The sequence below is a fragment of the Homo sapiens genome, chromosome X (assembly GCF_000001405.40).
Source record: "Homo sapiens chromosome X, GRCh38.p14 Primary Assembly".
Classification (NCBI taxonomy): domain Eukaryota; kingdom Metazoa; phylum Chordata; class Mammalia; order Primates; family Hominidae; genus Homo; species Homo sapiens.
Window position 1 is genome coordinate 135,821,076 of NC_000023.11, and position 20,802 is coordinate 135,841,877.

A 20,802-nucleotide genomic window follows, 5' to 3' on the forward strand; every position below is an offset into this window, starting at 1 on the left:
GGTTGAGGCTGCATTGACCTTTGTTCGCACCATTGCACTATAGCCTGGGTGACAGAGTAAGACTGTCTACAAAAAAAAAGAAAGAGAGAAAGAAAGAGAGAAAGAAAGAAAGAAAGAGAAAGAAAAAAGAAGGAAGGAAGGAAAGAAAGAACGAAAGAAAGAAAGGAAGGAAGAAAGGAAGGATGGAAGAAAGAAGGGAAGAAAGGAAGAAAGGAAGGATGGAAGAAAGAAGGGAAGAAAGGAAGAAAGAAAGAGAGAAAGAAAGAAAGGATGGAAGGAGGGGAAACCTTATTATATTGCATCTATTAATCATTTTAATCTGGAACTTTGTATATTTTTCCACCTTTTTTATTTTTTTTGAGACAGTCTGGCTCTGTCACCCAGGCTGGAGTGCAGTGGCATGATCTTGGCTCACTGCAACCTCCGCCTCCCAGGTTCAAGCAGTTCTCCTTCCTCAGCCTCCCGAGAAGCTGGGATTACAGGCATGTACCACCATGCCCGGCTGGTATTTGTATTTTTAGCAGAGACGGTGTTTCACAATGTTCTCCAGGCTGGTCTCAAACTCCTGACTTTAAGTGATTCATCTGCCTTGGCCTCCCAAAGTCCTGGGATTACAGGGGAGAGCCACCATGCCCGGCCCATTTTTCTACTTTCACAACTTATTTTAAGTGCAGCAAAATTTACTTGAATTGTCCATAGTGGTAAAAAATATTACAGCGAAATTTTTCGAGTTTTAATGGAACAGGCAGTTTCACTATTGACACAATTATTTGGAAGGGATTACTTCACTGGTTTTGTAATTCAAAAGTTATGTTTGTAAAAAACTTAAAATTAAAATTAAAAAATATAGCCAGGCATGGTGGTGGGCACCTGTACTCCCTGCTACTAGGGCAGCAGAGGCAGGAGAATCACTTGAACCTGAGAGGTGCAAGCTTCAGTGAGCAGAGATCGCGTCACTGCACTCCAAAGGGGCAGAGATCCATTGTCACTGGGGGACAAAGGGAGAGTCCGTCTCAAAATAAATTAATTAATTAAAATTAAAATTAAAAATTATGTTTGTTAAGTACCCTGTTAGAAGAGAGTCATATTCAGTATTACAGCTTCTTAGCCTATTGTGTTAATATTTGCCTGTGCTTCAGAACCTTCATAGAACACATTTTCTTTTGGAATATATTTGATTGATAGGAAAGCTTAAACATTGTTTTCACTTTGATGTAGGAACAGTTGTTTTGTTTGTTTCCTCTAGTGCTATCAAAATAAAATACTCATTTTTTGCATTAAAAAAATCCCACCAGAGCAGTACTCATAGGAGTATTTGATTGAATAACCATGAGACTGGAATCTTGTTGGGGCTTAATTAGAATCCTGCCTACCACACAAGCCACAGGTGGACAGCTGCATACGACAGTCCTGACTGGGACAGCCCTGAAGGACAGTGATGAAGGGAAATCCTCCCAGAGGGAAGAACTTTGAGCAGTGCACCTTCTTGGAGGAGGCATATCCAGACGTGTAAGTATGTATCATGCATAGGCTGTGTCCCACTCATTCGCTGAATTGTCAGGGACTTTGAGAACACACGATTAAAAATGTGCGACAAAGAAGTCTGAGAAAAAAAAAAATATGTGGACAGGCCTGTCCAAACGGACATACAATGTGAAGATATTGGGGTCTCATGAGAGTTCTCAGCAAAGGGTATCCTCAGCAGAGCAGAATTTTAATAATCAGATGGATAAGGTACTTATTATCTAGGTATTAATCAGCCTCTTTCCCTAACACGTGTGTCACAATCTTACCGGCTCAACAAACAAAGTGGTCAAACTGGCAGGGTTGGAGATTATGCGCAGTAGCATGGACCTCCACTCACCATGGCAAACCTGGCTACGGTCATTGCTGAGTGAAAAATCTTCCAGGAATGGAGACCAACACTAAGCCCCCAATTTGGCACCAGACTCCAGAATGATCTGCCAGCCACTAGTTGGTATGTGGATTACAATAGATCACTTCTATTATAAAAAGAGAAGTGCTTTCTTCTTACCTGAACAGACATTTAGTCTAGATATGGATTTTCCTTCCCACTTGCAGTGCTTTTGAGAAAACCAATGTTTGTATCTCGGCTTCCAAAATTCTGGAAAGCGCTAGTTCCTCAAGTTCCTAGGGTTATTCATTCTGGAGACTCTAGTATACTCTGCAAGAAAACCTGTAGGCCATCCACCAAAATGCCCAAATGGAGTCACTCTTAAATAACGAGCCCTGCATGTTTCCAGAAACTCTAATTATCAGTGAAAAGTTTACTATGGCAGCGATTTCGCCACCCAGGGCAATTGGAGAATGGCAGATACTAGGGACCATTAACTCTGTGAAAGCTGTAGAAGACTGCAGTCAAGACAGTTACAGAACCAAAAGTGACAGTCTTCTATTTCCGATGTTTGTACAAAGAGGACATACAATTAATAAAGTGGTCGAGGAACAGGTTTCTGCTTTAATACCAAAAACTAACATAGAAACCTGTAAAGGTGTCCAAGTATAGTAATCCTTTTCCTGTGTATTTGGTTAAGATTTAAAACTGAAGCTTTCTTTGTTAGCTTTTTTAAAATTATAGATGCCAGAAGGGTACATGTACAGATTTCTCACTTGGATATAATTGCACAGTGCCGGGGTTTGGGCTTCTAGTGAACTCATCACCCAAATAGTGAAGAGAGTATCCAATAGGTAGTTTTTCAACCCTCCGACCCGCTCCCTCCCTCCCCTCTACCTCCATTTTGGAGTCCCCAGAGTCAATGGTTTCTACCTTTATTTTCATGTGTACCCATTGTTTAGCTCCCACATATGAATGAGAACACGCAGTATCTCATTTTCTGATTATCAGATTTTGCTTCTGCGTTTCACTTAAAAGTGAAGTTTTCACCGGACACAGTGGCTCACGCCTGTAATCCCAGGATTTGGGAGGCAGAAGCGGGTGGATCACTTGAGGTCAGGAGTTCCAGACGAGGCTGGCCAAAGTGGCGAAACCACATCTCTACCAAAAATACAAAAAAATAGCTGGGGCCCTGCGCAGTGGCTCGCACTTGCACTTTGGGAGTCTGAGGTGGGCATATCACTTGAGGTCAGGAGTTTGAGACTAGCCTGGCCAACATGGTGAAACTCTGTCTCTACTAAGAAATACAAACAATTAGCCAGGTGTGATAATGCGTTTCTATAGTCCCAGCTACACAAGGAGGCTGAGGCAAGAGAACTGCTTGAACCCGGGAGGTGGAGGTTGCAGTGAGCCGAGATTGCACCATAAACTTAATCAAATTGTTGTTCCAACTGCAGCTGCTGTACTACAAGTGGTTTTGTTGTGTCAGCAACTGTGACATCCCTCGGAACCTGATATACAATACTGATTAGGTGAATGTTTGGCTTTCTTTCAGTAATTGTCGTAAACAAGAATTTCAATTCAGCTAGAAAGGACAGCAATGTACTATCATTTCCTATTTCAAGCTTATATCAACTCTCTAGGTTTATATCCTAAACGAGTTCTTAGGGAAAATGGCCACCTTTCTCTTAAACCAGATGTGACACCATTCTTTGCAGTGATGACATCATGCTGACTGAAAAGGAGGCAGCAACTAATCCAGACATGGTAGCAACACACTTGCAAGACATTATGTGAGAAATAATTCTCACACAAAATCAGGGGCCTTCTAACTGAGTGAAGCGTTTAACAATCTGGTAGTCTGGCATGTCAAGATGGTGGTTATAAGGTGAACAGCAAGTTCTTACATCTTGCCTTTCTTACTACTAAATAAGGAACATGAAACGAGTTGCATAATAGATGCTTGTTTTAGCATATACCTAAATGTTGTGCAGTACCGTGGACCCATTGACAAGTGACTGAAACCCCGCTAGCATGGACCGGGGCCCAGAAAAAGAGAAGCTTCCCTAATCCTGCACCTGTGGTCTCATGTGGAGTTCCCTGAGACCAGTTGACTAGAAAATAAAAAACATCATGCCTGATTTTCATTTGTTACTTCAGAATATGCAGGCACCACATCTATTAGGTTTGTTACTAATGCAAAAGAAATTGTCCCCGATTCAGCAGCTTAAAATAACACAAATATATAAGCAGTTCTGTAGATCAGAAATCCATGCAGCCTGGATTGGTTTCTCTGCTTAGGATCTCACAAAATCAAAGTTAGGGTATCAACCAGGCTGCTGACTAACTAAGGACTCAGAGAGAACCTGTTTTCAAGCACATTTGGGTTACGGGCAGGTCTAACTTCTTAAAGTTGTGGAACTGAGGTAGCCGTATACTTGCGGTCTTGGCTGAGGCCACTCTAAGCTACCTGAGACCCCTCCATACCTACTTGGGTGCACCCCTCTATCTTCTAAGCAGTAATGGTGCATCATGATTATGGTGGCTGAGATAAAGCTTATTTACGGGTTTGGCAACATGAACTTTCATTTACCAGGTCCATCTCACTACAGCCACTGCTCACTATTCAATCTGACAGCAGCAGAGACCAACACTGAGTCCCCAATATGGCACCATGTCCCAGAGTGGTCAGTCAGCTTCCAGGTAGCACTGTGATTACTTGGGTCTGCTTCCACGATTGAAGGGGTATCACTTTGATCTTCCTCAAATAGACACTTATTCTGCATATGGATTTTCATTCCCACCCATGGAACTTCAAGGAAATCGGTACTGTGGTATGAGGAAAGGCTGTATCCACCGTCGTGGTATTCCACACTGCACCAGTTTTAAACATCAAACTCACTTTACAGGCAATGAAGTATGGGAATGGGCTCATGCTAATGTACTTCACTAGTCTTGTGATGTTCTTCAACATCCTGAAATGGCTGGCTCAATAGAACATTGGAGGACCTTTTAAAGCCTGAGTTGTCATTGCAGCTTTGTGGCAGTGCCTTGTGGGGCTTGGCTGACAATCTAGAAAGTGGCAAAGCTGAATCCTAGCCTCAAGTATATGGAACTATTTCTCCCATAGCCACATTTATGACTTCAAGAATGAAGGAGGCAATATGTGGGCCTTCTCTCACTATTACTCCTGGGTATCTAGTAACAAAATGTTGCTTCTTATGCTCAAGAAGCAAACTGTGCACCAAGAAGCCAACTTTTGGCTCTGCTGGACTAGAGGACTTAGTTACACATTGAGGAATTTTTTCAACAGGGGAAACCAAAGTGATTCCACCAAAATGAAAGTTGTTCCGTATGAACTTTAAAGTAGTTTTTTCCAATTCTGTGAAGAAAGTCATTGGTAGCTTGATGGGGATGGCATTGAATCTATAAATTACCCTGGGCAATATGGCCATTTTCACGATATTGATTCTTCCTACCCATGAGCATGGAATGTTGTTCCATTTGTTTGTGTCCTCTTTTATTTCATTGAGCACTGGTTTGTAGTTCTCCTTGAAGAGGTCCTTCACGTCCCTTGTAAGTTGGATTCCTAGGTATTTTATTATCTTTGAAGCAATTGTGCATGGGAGTTCACTCATGATTTGGCTCTCTGTTTGTCTGTTACTGGTGTATAAGAATGCTTGTGATTTTTGCACACTGATTTTGGAACCAAAAAAGAGCCCGCATTGCCAAGTCAATCCTAAGCCAAAAGAACAAAGCTGGAGGCATCACGCTACCTGACTTCAAACTATACTACAAGTCTACAGTAACCAAAACAGCATGGTACTGTTATCAAAACAGAGATACAGACCAATGGAACAGAACAGAGCCCTCAGAAATAATGCTGCATATCTACAACTATCTGATCTTTGACAAACCTGACAAAAACAAGAAATGGGGAAAGGATTCCCTATTTAATAAATGGTGCTGGGAAAACTGGCTAGCCATATGGAGAAAGCTGAAATGGGATCCCTTCCTTACACTTTATACAAAAATTAATTCAAGATGGATTCAAGACTTACATGTTAGACCTAAAACCATAAAAACCCTAGAAGAAAACCTAGGCAATACCATTCAGGACATAGGCATGGGCAAGGACTTCATGTCTAAAACACCAAAAGCAATGGCAACAAAAGTCAAAATTGACAAATGGGATCTAATTAAACTAAAGAGTTTCTGCACGGCAAAAGAAACCACCATCAGAGTGAACAGGCAACCTACAGAATGGGAGGAAATTTTTGCAGTCTACTCATCTGACAAAGGGCTAATATCCAGAATCTACAACGAACTCAAACAAATTTACAAGAAAAAAACAAACAACCCCATCAACAAGCGGGCGAAGGATATGAACAGATACTTCTCAAAAGAAGACATTTATGCAGCCAACAGACACATGAAAACATGCTCATCATCACTGGCCATCAGATAAATGCAAATCAAAACCACAATGAGATACCATCTCACACCAGTTAGAATGGCAATCATTAAAAAGTCAGGAAACAACAGGTGCTGGAGAGGATGTGGACAAATAGGAACACTTTTACACTGTTGGTGGGACTGTAAACTAGTTCAACCATTGTGGAAGTCAGTGTGGCGATTCCTCAGGGATCTAGAACTAGAAATACCATTTGACCCAGCCATCCCATTACTGAGTATATACCCAAAGGATTATAAAACATGGTGCTATAAAGACACATGCACACGTATGTTTATTGTGGCACTATTCACAATAGCAAAGACTTGGAACCAACCCAAATGTCCAACAATGATAGACTGGATTAAGAAAACGTGGCACATATACACCATGGAATACTATGCAGCCATGAAAAATGATGAGTTCATGTCCTTTGTAGGGACATGGATGAAGCTGGAAACCATCATTCTCAGCAAACTATCGCAAGGACAAAAAACCAAACACCGCATGTTCTCCCTCATAGGTGGGAACTGAACAATGAGAACACATGGACACAGGAAGGGGAACATCACACACTGGGTCCTGTTGTGGGGTGTGGGGAGGGGGGAGGGATAGCATTAGGAGATATACCTAATGTTAAATGATGAGTTAATGGGTGCAGCACACAAAAATGGCACATGTATACATATGTAACAAACCTGCACGTTGTGCACATGTACCCTAAACCTTAAAGTATAATAAAAAAAAGTACCTGGCACAATTAATATTTGTTGAATAATTGAATGAATTAATTTTTTTAAAAAAAGCATAGAATGGGCTGGGTGCAGTGGCTCATGCCTGTAATCCTAGAACCTTGGGAGGCTGAGATGGGCAGATCACTTGAGGCCAGGTTTCGAGACCAGCCTGGACAACATGGCAAAACCCCATCTCCACTAAAAATACAAAAATTGCAGCGTGATGGCACCTGTGGTGCACCTGTAATCCCAGCTACTTCGAAGGCTGAAGCACAAGGATCGCTTGAACTGGGGTGAGGTCGAGGTGGCAGTGACTTGTGATCGTGTCACCGCACTCTAGCCTGGGCAACAGAGCAAGATTCTGTCTTTAAAAAAAATAAAAAGCATAGAACGTTCAAGTCGTATCTGGAAACAACAGCCTTACAGGGACTGCTACTGCAGCTCCAAATTATTGTATCAGACCAATCCTATCTAGGAACTACCTTTATTATATATATTGGATATACCCCCCCACACACGCATACATATATATATATGGGGGTGTATATATAATATGTGTAATGTGTATTATATGTATAATGGGAGATTAGAAAGTGTGTGTGTGCATGTATATATACCCCCTACCAACACACACACACACACACACACACACACACACACACACACACACACATTAAAATCTCCCATTAGTTCTGCCTTTTCGTTGAAGGCTGATGATACAGATTTCAACATTGAGATCGGGTTCCCACCACACGAGGGGCTAAGGAAGAGTATGTGTGATATGTCTAGAGAGCTTCTTAGTCCTCCCGTGTTTTTCGATTAGAGTTAATGGAAAATCACAGCAACCCCATCCAGGCAGGATATCTAATGGTTCAGACTCTTCCGTAATGAAGGTTTGAGTCATCCTGCCAGGCCAAGCATCATGACCAACTGACATGCTATCTCAGGGCAAAGGGAATGCGAAACGGGTAGCGAAAGAAGGTAGTTATAAACGCCAGCTACATCAGTGTGAGCTGCTGCAGAAACCACGACTGTAATAGTATTTACCTAATGGGTTAATAATATCTACCAGCACAGGTGGGAATACAAAATAACCAAAACACAAGTTATCCTTTCAAATAAAACGCTTTGGGAAAAAGAACATCTTTTACTAACAGAAATTTCTTAGCCTCTGGAAGGCCAGTTGATTCGGTAACATATGCCAGGAGACTTCAGCAATATCCTGCTCCATTGTAGAAAACAGCAATCTGATCCTTTTCTCTCCTCAATCATTAACGAGATTATGCATTTGGGGTGTGATAATCCTCCAGGGACAAGTATTCTCAAATCATACGTTTCAGTTTCTTCTTAAGGTGCTTAACAAAGTCTCGTCTCATACATCTGAAGAGAAAGAGACATGTCATTAACCAAAAGATAGCCAAAGAACCTATGCTGTAGGAAGCGCTGTGACAGATAGAAAGATGAAGTAACAGTCAGCATGGAAATAGAAATGTATCTGCATGGTAAGAGGCAGTCTAGCCGGCATAACAAATGCTGGCAAGGGTGTGGAGAAAAGGGAACCTTCATACACTGTTGGTGAGAATATAAATTACTACAACAACTAACTATGAAGAACAGTTTGGAGGTTCCTCAAACAACTAAAAATGGAGCTATCATATGATCCAGCAATCCCACTGCTGGGTATATACCCAAGAGAAAGGAAGTCAGTGTACCGAACAGATATCTGCACTCCCATGTTTGTTGCAGCACCATCCACAGTAGCCAAGATTTGGAAGCAACCTAAGTGTCCACTAACACATGAATGGGTAAAGAAAATATGGTACATATACACCACAGAGTACTGTTTAGCCATAAAAAAAAGAATGAGATTCAGTCATTTGCAACAACACGGATAGAACCGAAGGTCCTTATGTTAAGTGAAATAAGCCAGGCACAGAAAGACAAACTTCACATGTTCTCACTTATTTTTGGGAGTAAAAGTGTAAAACAACTGAACTAATGGAGATAGAGAGTAGAATGACAGTTACCAGAGGCTACAAAGGTTAGTGGGGGTGGAGGGTGTGGGAAGTGGGGATGATTAATACGTAGAAGTATGGAATAAATAAGATGTCGTATTTCATAGCCAAACAGGGTGACTATAGTCGGTAATAATTTAATTGCACATTTAAAAATAATGAAGAGTATAATTGTATTCTCTGTAACGCAAAGGATAAAAGCTTGAGGTGATAGAAACCCCACTTACCTTGATGTGATTATTACACATTGTTGTCTGTATCACAATATCTCATATAGCCCAGAAATATATGCATCTGCTATGTGCCTACACAAATTTTTTAAAAAGAGGTAGTCTAGCAAATACAAAGAGTGTCAATTGAGGGACAATGCGCACCTCAGACTATGGTGAAAATGGAAGTCTCCATAGTCTTCGAAGAATGAGTTACACTCAGATAACATTAGCCTAAGTAACTGTGGAGACAGCCATAACTGTGAGTGAGGACCAGGGTTTGAGAAACGCAAGGCAGGGGCTGTTCCCCAACGCTCACCCCCAGTGCTCTATTGAGCCCAAGTGCTTAAAGAAATTGGACAGTTCCTATTTCTACCCACCTTGCTGCTTCCTTGATGATGGATTCAAAAAATCGCTTCCTGACTGCAGTAGGTCCTTGCACTCCTTCAAGCATTTCGAAGATTTTTTCATATTCTGAAGATGTTGAAAAAAAAAAAACTTCAGTATTATCAAATATAAAGAAGAATAGAAGTGAATCTACACCTCAGCAATCATGCTTCAGAGGCTGAAATGTTTTAAATGCTTAAATCAAGATACCTGCACATACAAAACCTAAATAATAAAAAAGACACCTGCACATACATACGAATGTAACTCCTTTAACCATAACCAAGTAAGAAAAGAAAAAGAAAAAATGTACATGCTTTAGTCAAAGAAAAGAGGAACCACCATAAATTATGTGCAATCTCAACTCTGGCAAAGAATGAAACTCAACAGGCAACATGAATATCTTCTGAATCATAGAAAGAGAGACTTCCTATAGTTTTATAAAACAGACATTCTTATATTACTTACTTTGTCCAACGCATCGGAGTTCCTTCACTAATTTACGTTTTATATCAGCATTAATTTCTCGTTGGCTTTTGGGAGAGGAGGCTGTTTCTCTGCATTCTAGGTCATCTCCAGAGAAACTGCTGGTAACGTTTCCTCCCACAGGTGCATTGCTACCAGGTTTCTGCATCATCCCATCTTTGCTGAAACCAGTGAAGTCATCAATCTGAGAATCCAATTGGCTGGGTGGAATAGCATGTCCTGTCATAAGCTCTGGTGAAACAGATTTTGAGTAAAAGCCATCAGTTGGTGTTTGACCACTTTCTTTCCCCTCCACATAGACCTCATGAATGACAGCTCTGGAAATCAAACTGAGAAGCTGAGCTGTGAGATATGTGTGTTTCATCACCCCTCTGGGTACATCTATGTGCTCCTCAGTTTCTAGGGAATTATTTATTTCATAAATGGGAGGATACACCAGGGAGAAATCCCAGGCCTGACAAACGGAGGCCAGGACACATAATACAATAAAACCACCTCTTATTTTCTGGCCCTATGAATAGACATGGAAACCAAGTAAGGCAGTACAACTCTAAAGCAACATTCACAGATCCCTGGTACTCATGGGACAGTTTCAGCTTGTTATGCTTTACAAGTTGAAAGCAGCAAGTCTCACTTGATATCATGATTTCTCAAATTCACTTACAAACTGCCATGCTTTACTGAGCTGGAACCCAGGCAACTGGGATACAACTCAACCGGTCTCCTGTTATATCAAACACATTCTGAGAAAATAGAGGCGGCCATTACTGCTAAAAGTTCTATACGCACTCCACCACCAAAAAGTCCCTTTTACTGTATGATTTTCCTCATCCTTCCTTTCTTTCTCACAAAAGTGACTTTCTTTTCACTCCAGGTCTGACACCTCTCATTTATTCATCGTCTGTGGCAGGCAGCGTGCCGGTAGCTGGGGATCAGCAGTAAACAGCCCAGAGAGCAACGTTCCCTGCCCTTGTGGAGCTCACATCCTCATGGGGCGGTCAGACAGTACGTGCACAATGAGCAAATGAAACATACAGTGTTGGGCTAGTGGTAAGGAAGCAGTCCACAGGCCTGTGGGCAACAGCAGCAGAGGGAGCCCCAGGAGCTGCTGCTGGTTGGGCAGAGCCTTCTGTGGAGGTACCCTTGGGCAGGGCTTGAAGGAAAAAGCAGAGCTGCCTGCGCAGAGGCAGAGGGGGAGTTCCAGGTTGCGGTGAGGCCAAGGATATGGGCTGGAGTGGGGATGGACCGGGCACTATGGGGTGAAGGACAGTAGCAGAGAGAGTCAGGAGATGATGGGGCCCGTGTGAGGAGAGGGTGACGGAGGCCAGGCCACGCAGAACCTCGCAGACCAAAGCTGCTTCGCAGTCGGTTCTGAGTGCTTAGGAGTGTTGAGGATGGGTGTTCAGGAGCGACATGGCATCACGTGATTTACATGCCAACATCATGACCCGGCTGCAGGGTTGGAGGGTATGTGTTTGATGCGGGAAATAATGGGAAACATGGAGGTATCTCAGGAGCTCAGTGATTGATCGTGGCAGAGTGGAATAGAAGGAGAGAGAGAGATGCTGGGGTTCAGGAATTTTTTACAGTATTTAGAGAAGAGAAGAAAAAGAAATGTAGAAAAAAACAATGATGGGGTCGGGGGCGGTGGCTCGTGCGTGTAATCCCAGCACTTTGGGAGGCTGAGGTGGGTGGATCACCTGAGGGGGGGAGTTCCAGACCAGCCTGGCCGACATGGCGAAACCCCATCTCTACTAAACTTACAAAAATTAGCTGGGTGTGGTGGCTGGTGCTTGTAATCCCGCTACTCGGGAGGCTGCGGCAGAAGAATCACTTGAACCCAGGAGACGGAGATTTCAGTGAGCCGAGATCGCGCCACTGCACTCCAGCCTGGCTGAGAAGAGCGAAACTCCATCTCAAGAAAAAAATGATAGGGATTCACCAATACGGACAAGAAATTAAAAAAAAAAAAAAGATTGTCGGAAATGGAAATCCTAGAAGGTTTTCATGAAGAAGCGAGTGAACAACTGTCAAATGCTGCTGAGAAGTTAATGGCAATGTCAGCCGAAACTGTTAACCTTGACAAGGACAGTTTCTCTGGAGGGGATGAGGCAGGAGCATGAGGAGGACGTGAGGACAGGCTTACTTACTCTTTTCTTTGGACATGGCAGAGCCTGCAATAAGGCTGTCTCCTGCTCCTTGTTTCCTTGCCAACAGGGCCATCCTCTGCCTTTTCTGATACGAAGGACTGTCACATTCCCTGGGACGTTTAAACACAGTTTCAGGATCTACAGCCACCTTCTCTGTTTTATCGGTCATTGTTTCCTGAAAAACATCAATGAATATATTCTATTCATGACAAAAATCTAACAATCACAAAATGGCAAGCAATCTGCATATGTGTATACAACCAAGACTTTGAATCATTAATTTCACTTTTAATCATGAGCCAAGATTTACCAAGTCTCAACAAACACTCTGTTCTCAGGAAAAGAAACCTAATTTTAATGTACACAAAGTAAAACAGAAGAAAGATGGTATAACCAAATCAATCAGAATGCTTGTGGAATAAGCAGCTGTCATCAACCAAAAATAGATAAAAATATTATTACCTATTTGAAGATGTATAAGCCAATCTGTATTAACCCTTATTAGAAAAAATGGATGTATAAACCAATCTGTATTAACCCTTATTATACATTATATTTTAAATTATATATTATATATCATATATATTTAATATATAAGTATTTATGCTTATATATTCAAATAGATGCATAAACCAACGTGTATTAACCCTTATTAGGAACCCTTATTAGAAGATTGATACAAAACTGATAACAACATCTGACAAGGAATTTAGAAGAATGAAAAACTACAAGATCAAGCCAAAAATACAAGCCAAGATCACCCCGAACTTAGACACAAAAATTCCAAACTAAGGGTGAGCAAATAAAATGTACTAGTACTTAAAAAGGACATACATCAGCCATGGTGGAGTATATTGCAGAAAGGCAACACTGATTTAACATTTGAAAATCGACAAATGTAGTGCACCACATTAACAACAACAACAACAACAACAACAAAAACAGGGAAACACCGCATGATCATTTTCATACATGGATCAATGTTTAAAGTCCATTCGTGATAAAACCTATCACCAACTTAGGAAAAAGGGCAACTTTCCTATTCTGGTTAGCATATGTACAAAAAATTTTTAAATGCCATACTTCATAGTGACGTATCAGTATTTTCTCCCTGAGTTTGAAAACAAGACAAAGATGTCCACTATCCATTCAACAATTTACTGGAGGTTCCAAAAAGTGCCATATCATCAGGAAAATACAATAGGTTTAAAATTTGGAAAGAAATAAAACTGTCATTATTCACAGATGACATTGTTCTGTACATAGAAAAATGCAGAAGAATAAAATCATTACAGTTAATAAGCAAATTTAGTCAACTTACTAGATACAATGAAAACCAATGGCATTTCTGTATAATGAATAGCAATTCTGTATAATGAATGGCATTATACAGAATGGCAATTCTGTATAACGAATAATTAGAATATGAGATTTCAAATGTCATTAAAAACAGTTCCAAAAACATCAAATATTTAGGAATAAATCTAATCAAGATGTGCTAGAGTACTTCACAAAAATTATAAAACATCACTCAGAGAAATTCAAGACTGCAGTAAATGGAGAAAAATTTTCTTTCCATGCATTGGAAGACATTTTTTTTTTTTTTTTTGAGTCGGAGCCTCGCTCTGTCACCCAGGCTGCAGTGGAGTGGCACAGTCTCTGCTCACTGCAACCTCCACTTCCCAGGTTCAAGCAATTCTCCTGCCTCAGCCTCCTGAGTAGCTGCGATTACGGGCGCCTGCCACGACGCTGGATAAAGAAAATGTGGTACATATACACCACGGAATACTATGCAGCCATAAAAAAGAATGAGTTCATGTCCTTTGAAGGGACATGTGTCAGCAAGCTAACACAGGAACAGAAAACCAAACACCACGTGTCCTCACTCATAAGTGGGAGTTGAACAATGAGAACACATGGACGCGGGGAGAAGAACATCACACAGTGGGGCCTGTCAGGGGTTGGGGGGCTAGGGGAGGGATAGCATTAGAGAAATACCTAAGGTAGATGACGGGTCAATGGGTGCAGCAAACAACCATGGCATGTGTCTTCCTATGTAACAAACCTGCACGTTCTGCCCATGTATCCCGGAACTTAAAGTATAATTTTAAGAAAAGGAATATTATCGTAATGGCATTGGGTGAGTCAAAGATGTTTCTTAAAATAATAAAAAGCACTATCCATAAATAATACACTAATTAATAAAATTAAGAGAATCTGTTCATCTACAACACATTATTGAGATCGTGTAAAAGCAAAAAAGATTTATAGAAGATACTAAAATTGTATATGTATTTTTGTATATGTACATATACGCCTGTGTGCCTGTGCGTATAACTCAAATACAGAATATATGGAAACTACAAATCCATTTTTAAAATACAAACATCTCAGTAAAAGCTGGGGGAAAATACCTGAAAAGGAACTTCATAAAAGGCATAGTTAAATGACCAATAAACACATAAAATGGTGCTAAAAAAAAAAAAAAAGAAAACAATAAATAGCTGGGTGTGGTGGCACTGCAATCCAGTCTGGGTGACAGAGGGAGACCTCATCTCAAAAGACAAACAAAAATCAATAAATAAAAACAATTTCTTAAAAAGGTGCTCGATCTCATTAATCAGCAGAGAAATGCGAGTGTAGACACAAGGAGAGATCACTGCACACCCATCAGAGTGGCTGGAATGAAAGACTAACTGTACTGCGAGTGTTCGAATGTGGCACAGCTGGAACCTTCGAATATTTCTGGACTCCCATTCCCACACAGACACCTGAGGCTGTGGCTGAAAGGTCAGATAGAATCCCAGGAAAGAGCTCCTTCAGAATTGCGATCAACCAACCGAGGAAAAGCACCCCAACCTGGGTCGAGACAGAGTTCCCAAGGTCACGTGGCCTCCTTCATGGCTGACACAGAGCTCCCTGAGTCCCACCATAGGCTTAGAGAATCCAAGGAACATTACCCCACTCCCCGGCGGCACCGGGAGAGAGCACCTACAGATAATAATTTTAAAAACCCAGCACCAAGAGAAAGCATCCAGTAAGCGTCCACAACGGGGATAAGCAGAACCAAAGAAAAGCCAACACATTGTAACTGAGAGCGAGCAACATCCGAGGACAAATGCGCCTCACGGCCGACATCAGTACCCAAGGAAGAGTCCACCAGAGGTTGAGATAAAGCCCCCGACAGTGACCCCACAGGGCTACGATCATGTGTCCGGGGCACAGCCACCCCCACCACGTTCCATGAGCACAGATAGTGACCCCAGGGCAGAGTCCCCCCTCAGGACAGCGACTGAGCGGGAAAGAAACACCGCCGCACCCGAGGCCGACACAGGCAACCAAGGCATGGCCCCCACCCCCCGGGCTCAGGTCATTTCAGCAGGAAAAGTCGCCTTTTCCATCACCGACAGGGAGCCCCCAACAAGAGCCCCCAAGAAAAGCCCCCTGGCCCCACAACATAGCCGAGACGGGGTGCCCAAGGAAAACGCTCCCCCGCGGCTGACACAGGCGCCCATGGCGGTGTCCCCAGAGCTAAGCCACTTCCCCAAGGGAGCCCTCCCACACACCGGACAGAGAACACCACAGAAAAGACTCTTTCTGAGGAAAAAGGACACTTTCCAGGGCGAAATTAAAGCATCCAGGGAAAAACTGCCCACTCACAGTCCTGAAGTCCTGACCTTGCTGGAGGAGAGACGGCGGCACCTCACAAAATGGCAGTGAAGTTGTGGCGCCTCCCCACTGGTGGCACTTTCTAGAAACCTGCCCTCTGGGAGTTGTGGGAAATGTGCCCCCTAGGGCACCTGGGAGTGATGTGCATGGGGAGGCGTCTCACCAGAAGCACCGATCCCGTTTGGCCCAAGGGGGATGGGAGGAAGGGAAGTAGCCAGCCACAGCGTGCCTGCCCCAGCCGAACACTGGGAACCTGTTGGGGGCGCCAGAGTGCTGAGGAGAAGCCTCGTGCCCCAGAGAACCAGGAAGCGCAGCCCTCCCCTTCGCTGACTCTGGCGCCCTCTACAGGCGACCTTCAGTAACAACTGCACAGCAACGTATGCGGAGGAATGCAGAACCTTCTCACCCAGCGGGATGAAATCGCCTGGGTAACATAGTGAGACCCCGGCTCTACAAAGCAACCAACTAATCAAAAAAGAAAGAAAGAAAGAAAGAAACACACAAATTAGCTGGGCCTAGTGGCCTCGCACCTGTGGTCCCAACTACTCGGGAAGTTGAGGTGGGAGGATGGCTTGAACCCGGGAGGTGGAGGTAGCAGTGAGCCACTGCACTCCAGCCCAGGCGGTAGAGGAGACCCCATCTCAGAAAAAAAAAAAAAAAGAAAGAAAGAAGGAAAAGAAAAGAAAAAGAAAAAGAACAACAACAAACTGCAATTTTCATTTGAGGGGGTTGTGTTTTAAAGTCAACCCCGACCCGCCACAGTGGCTCACGCCTGTAATCTCAACACTTTGGGAGGCCGAAGGGGCTGGACCACCTGAGGTCAGGAGTTCGAGACCAGTCTGTCTGACCAACATGGTGAATCCCGTCTCTGCTAAAAATACAGAAAATTACCGGGCGTGGTGGCATGCACCTATAATCCCACCAGCTACTTGGGAGGCTGAGGCTGGAGAATCGCTTGAACCGGGCAGGCAGAATTTGCAGTGAGCTGAGATCATGCCACTGCACTCCAGCCTGGGTAACAGAGTGAGACTCTGTCTAAAAATAAAAATCAATCAATCAATAAATAAAGTCAACCTCTATCTGTTAAAGGTAACCATTATTGTTAATTGATAAGAAAAATGAGGGCCCCAGTGCGGTCGCTCACGTCTGTAATCCCAGCAATTTGGGAGACCAAGAGGGGTGGATTCCTTGAGCCCAGGAGTTCAAGAGCAGCCTGGGCAGCATGGTGAAACCCCATCTTAACACAAAATACAAAAATTAGCTGAGCGTGTAACTGTGGTCCCAGCTGCTCGGGAGGCTTGACACCAGGAGGTTGAGGCTGCATTGACCTTTGTTCGCACCATTGCACTATAGCCTGGGTGACAGAGTAAGACTGTCTACAAAAAAAAAGAAAGAGAGAAAGAAAGAAAGAAAGAGAAAGAAAAAAGAAGGAAGGAAGGAAAGAAAGAACGAAAGAAAGAAAGGAAGGAAGAAAGGAAGGATGGAAGAAAGAAGGGAAGAAAGGAAGAAAGGAAGGATGGAAGAAAGAAGGGAAGAAAGGAAGAAAGAAAGAGAGAAAGAAAGAAAGGATGGAAGGAGGGGAAACCTTATTATATTGCATCTATTAATCATTTTAATCTGGAACTTTGTATATTTTTCCACCTTTTTTATTTTTTTTGAGACAGTCTGGCTCTGTCACCCAGGCTGGAGTGCAGTGGCATGATCTTGGCTCACTGCAACCTCCGCCTCCCAGGTTCAAGCAGTTCTCCTTCCTCAGCCTCCCGAGAAGCTGGGATTACAGGCATGTACCACCATGCCCGGCTGGTATTTGTATTTTTAGCAGAGACGGTGTTTCACAATGTTCTCCAGGCTGGTCTCAAACTCCTGACTTTAAGTGATTCATCTGCCTTGGCCTCCCAAAGTCCTGGGATTACAGGGGAGAGCCACCATGCCCGGCCCATTTTTCTACTTTCACAACTTATTTTAAGTGCAGCAAAATTTACTTGAATTGTCCATAGTGGTAAAAAATATTACAGCGAAATTTTTCGAGTTTTAATGGAACAGGCAGTTTCACTATTGACACAATTATTTGGAAGGGATTACTTCACTGGTTTTGTAATTCAAAAGTTATGTTTGTAAAAAACTTAAAATTAAAATTAAAAAATATAGCCAGGCATGGTGGTGGGCACCTGTACTCCCTGCTACTAGGGCAGCAGAGGCAGGAGAATCACTTGAACCTGAGAGGTGCAAGCTTCAGTGAGCAGAGATCGCGTCACTGCACTCCAAAGGGGCAGAGATCCATTGTCACTGGGGGACAAAGGGAGAGTCCGTCTCAAAATAAATTAATTAATTAAAATTAAAATTAAAAATTATGTTTGTTAAGTACCCTGTTAGAAGAGAGTCATATTCAGTATTACAGCTTCTTAGCCTATTGTGTTAATATTTGCCTGTGCTTCAGAACCTTCATAGAACACATTTTCTTTTGGAATATATTTGATTGATAGGAAAGCTTAAACATTGTTTTCACTTTGATGTAGGAACAGTTGTTTTGTTTGTTTCCTCTAGTGCTATCAAAATAAAATACTCATTTTTTGCATTAAAAAAATCCCACCAGAGCAGTACTCATAGGAGTATTTGATTGAATAACCATGAGACTGGAATCTTGTTGGGGCTTAATTAGAATCCTGCCTACCACACAAGCCACAGGTGGACAGCTGCATACGACAGTCCTGACTGGGACAGCCCTGAAGGACAGTGATGAAGGGAAATCCTCCCAGAGGGAAGAACTTTGAGCAGTGCACCTTCTTGGAGGAGGCATATCCAGACGTGTAAGTATGTATCATGCATAGGCTGTGTCCCACTCATTCGCTGAATTGTCAGGGACTTTGAGAACACACGATTAAAAATGTGCGACAAAGAAGTCTGAGAAAAAAAAAATATGTGGACAGGCCTGTCCAAACGGACATACAATGTGAAGATATTGGGGTCTCATGAGAGTTCTCAGCAAAGGGTATCCTCAGCAGAGCAGAATTTTAATAATCAGATGGATAAGGTACTTATTATCTAGGTATTAATCAGCCTCTTTCCCTAACACGTGTGTCACAATCTTACCGGCTCAACAAACAAAGTGGTCAAACTGGCAGGGTTGGAGATTATGCGCAGTAGCATGGACCTCCACTCACCATGGCAAACCTGGCTACGGTCATTGCTGAGTGAAAAATCTTCCAGGAATGGAGACCAACACTAAGCCCCCAATTTGGCACCAGACTCCAGAATGATCTGCCAGCCACTAGTTGGTATGTGGATTACAATAGATCACTTCTATTATAAAAAGAGAAGTGCTTTCTTCTTACCTGAACAGACATTTAGTCTAGATATGGATTTTCCTTCCCACTTGCAGTGCTTTTGAGAAAACCAATGTTTGTATCTCAGCTTCCAAAATTCTGGAAAGCGCTAGTTCCTCAAGTTCCTAGGGTTATTCATTCTGGAGACTCTAGTATACTCTGCAAGAAAACCTGTAGGCCATCCACCAAAATGCCCAAATGGAGTCACTCTTAAATAACGAGCCCTGCATGTTTCCAGAAACTCTAATTATCAGTGAAAAGTTTACTATGGCAGCGATTTCGCCACCCAGGGCAATTGGAGAATGGCAGATACTAGGGACCATTAACTCTGTGAAAGCTGTAGAAGACTGCAGTCAAGACAGTTACAGAACCAAAAGTGACAGTCTTCTATTTCCGATGTTTGTACAAAGAGGACATACAATTAATAAAGTGGTCGAGGAACAGGTTTCTGCTTTAATACCAAAAACTAACATAGAAACCTGTAAAGGTGTCCAAGTATAGTAATCCTTTTCCTGTGTATTTGGTTAAGATTTAAAACTGAAGCTTTCTTTGTTAGCTTTTTTAAAATTATAGATGCCAGAAGGGTACATGTACAGATTTCTCGCTTGGATATAATTGCACAGTGCCGGGGTTTGGGCTTCTAGTGAACTCATCACCCAAATAGTGAAGAGAGTATCCAATAGGTAGTTTTTCAACCCTCCGACCCGCTCCCTCCCTCCCCTCTACCTCCATTTTGGAGTCCCCAGAGTCAATGGTTTCTACCTTTATTTTCATGTGTACCCATTGTTTAGCTCCCACATATGAATGAGAACACGCAGTATCTCATTTTCTGATTATCAGATTTTGCTTCTGCGTTTCACTTAAAAGTGAAGTTTTCACCGGACACAGTGGCTCACGCCTGTAATCCCAGGATTTGGGAGGCAGAAGCGGGTGGATCACTTGAGGTCAGGAGTTCCAGACGAGGCTGGCCAAAGTGGCGAAACCACATCTCTACCAAAAATACAAAAAATAGCTGGGGCCCTGCGCAGTGGCTCGCACTTGCACTTTGGGAGTCTGAGGTGGGCATATCACTTGAGGTCAGGAGTTTGAGACTAGCCTGGCCAACATGGTGAAACTCTGTCTCTACTAAGAAATACAAACAATTAGCCAGGTGTGATAATGCGTTTCTATAGTCCCAGCTACACAAGGAGGCTGAGGCAAGAGAACTGCTTGAACCCGGGAGGTGGAGGTTGCAGTGAGCCGAGATTGCACCATAAACTTAATCAAATTGTTGTTCCAACTGCAGCTGCTGTACTACAAGTGGTTTTGTTGTGTCAGCAACTGTGACATCCCTCGGAACCTGATATACAATACTGATTAGGTGAATGTTTGGCTTTCTTTCAGTAATTGTCGTAAACAAGAATTTCAATTCAGCTAGAAAGGACAGCAATGTACTATCATTTCCTATTTCAAGCTTATATCAACTCTCTAGGTTTATATCCTAAACGAGTTCTTAGGGAAAATGGCCACCTTTCTCTTAAA

The 20,802-nt window shown here is 42.6% G+C and overlaps 1 protein-coding gene across 3 annotated transcripts; it reads right to left on the reverse strand.

Annotated features, from left to right (window-relative positions):
* CT45A7 (cancer/testis antigen family 45 member A7) lies at nucleotides 8,154-16,244 on the reverse strand. Of its 3 annotated transcripts, none has more exons than XM_011531229.3 (5): nucleotides 16,122-16,244; nucleotides 12,290-12,464; nucleotides 10,122-10,370; nucleotides 9,647-9,740; nucleotides 8,154-8,422 (listed from the first exon to the last, which is right to left on the reverse strand). In XM_011531229.3, the coding sequence occupies exons 2-5, from the start codon at nucleotides 12,456-12,458 to the stop codon at nucleotides 8,365-8,367; spliced, it is 570 nt and encodes a 189-aa protein (XP_011529531.1). In that variant the 5' UTR covers nucleotides 12,459-12,464; nucleotides 16,122-16,244; the 3' UTR covers nucleotides 8,154-8,364. The 3 variants fall into 3 exon arrangements, with proteins under 3 accessions (XP_011529531.1, NP_001381597.1, NP_001278472.1); NM_001394668.1 differs by having other exon boundaries at nucleotides 15,967-16,205; NM_001291543.2 differs by lacking the exon at nucleotides 16,122-16,244 and adding an exon at nucleotides 15,950-16,004.
* Between the last annotated feature and the right edge of the window lie 4,558 nt (nucleotides 16,245-20,802).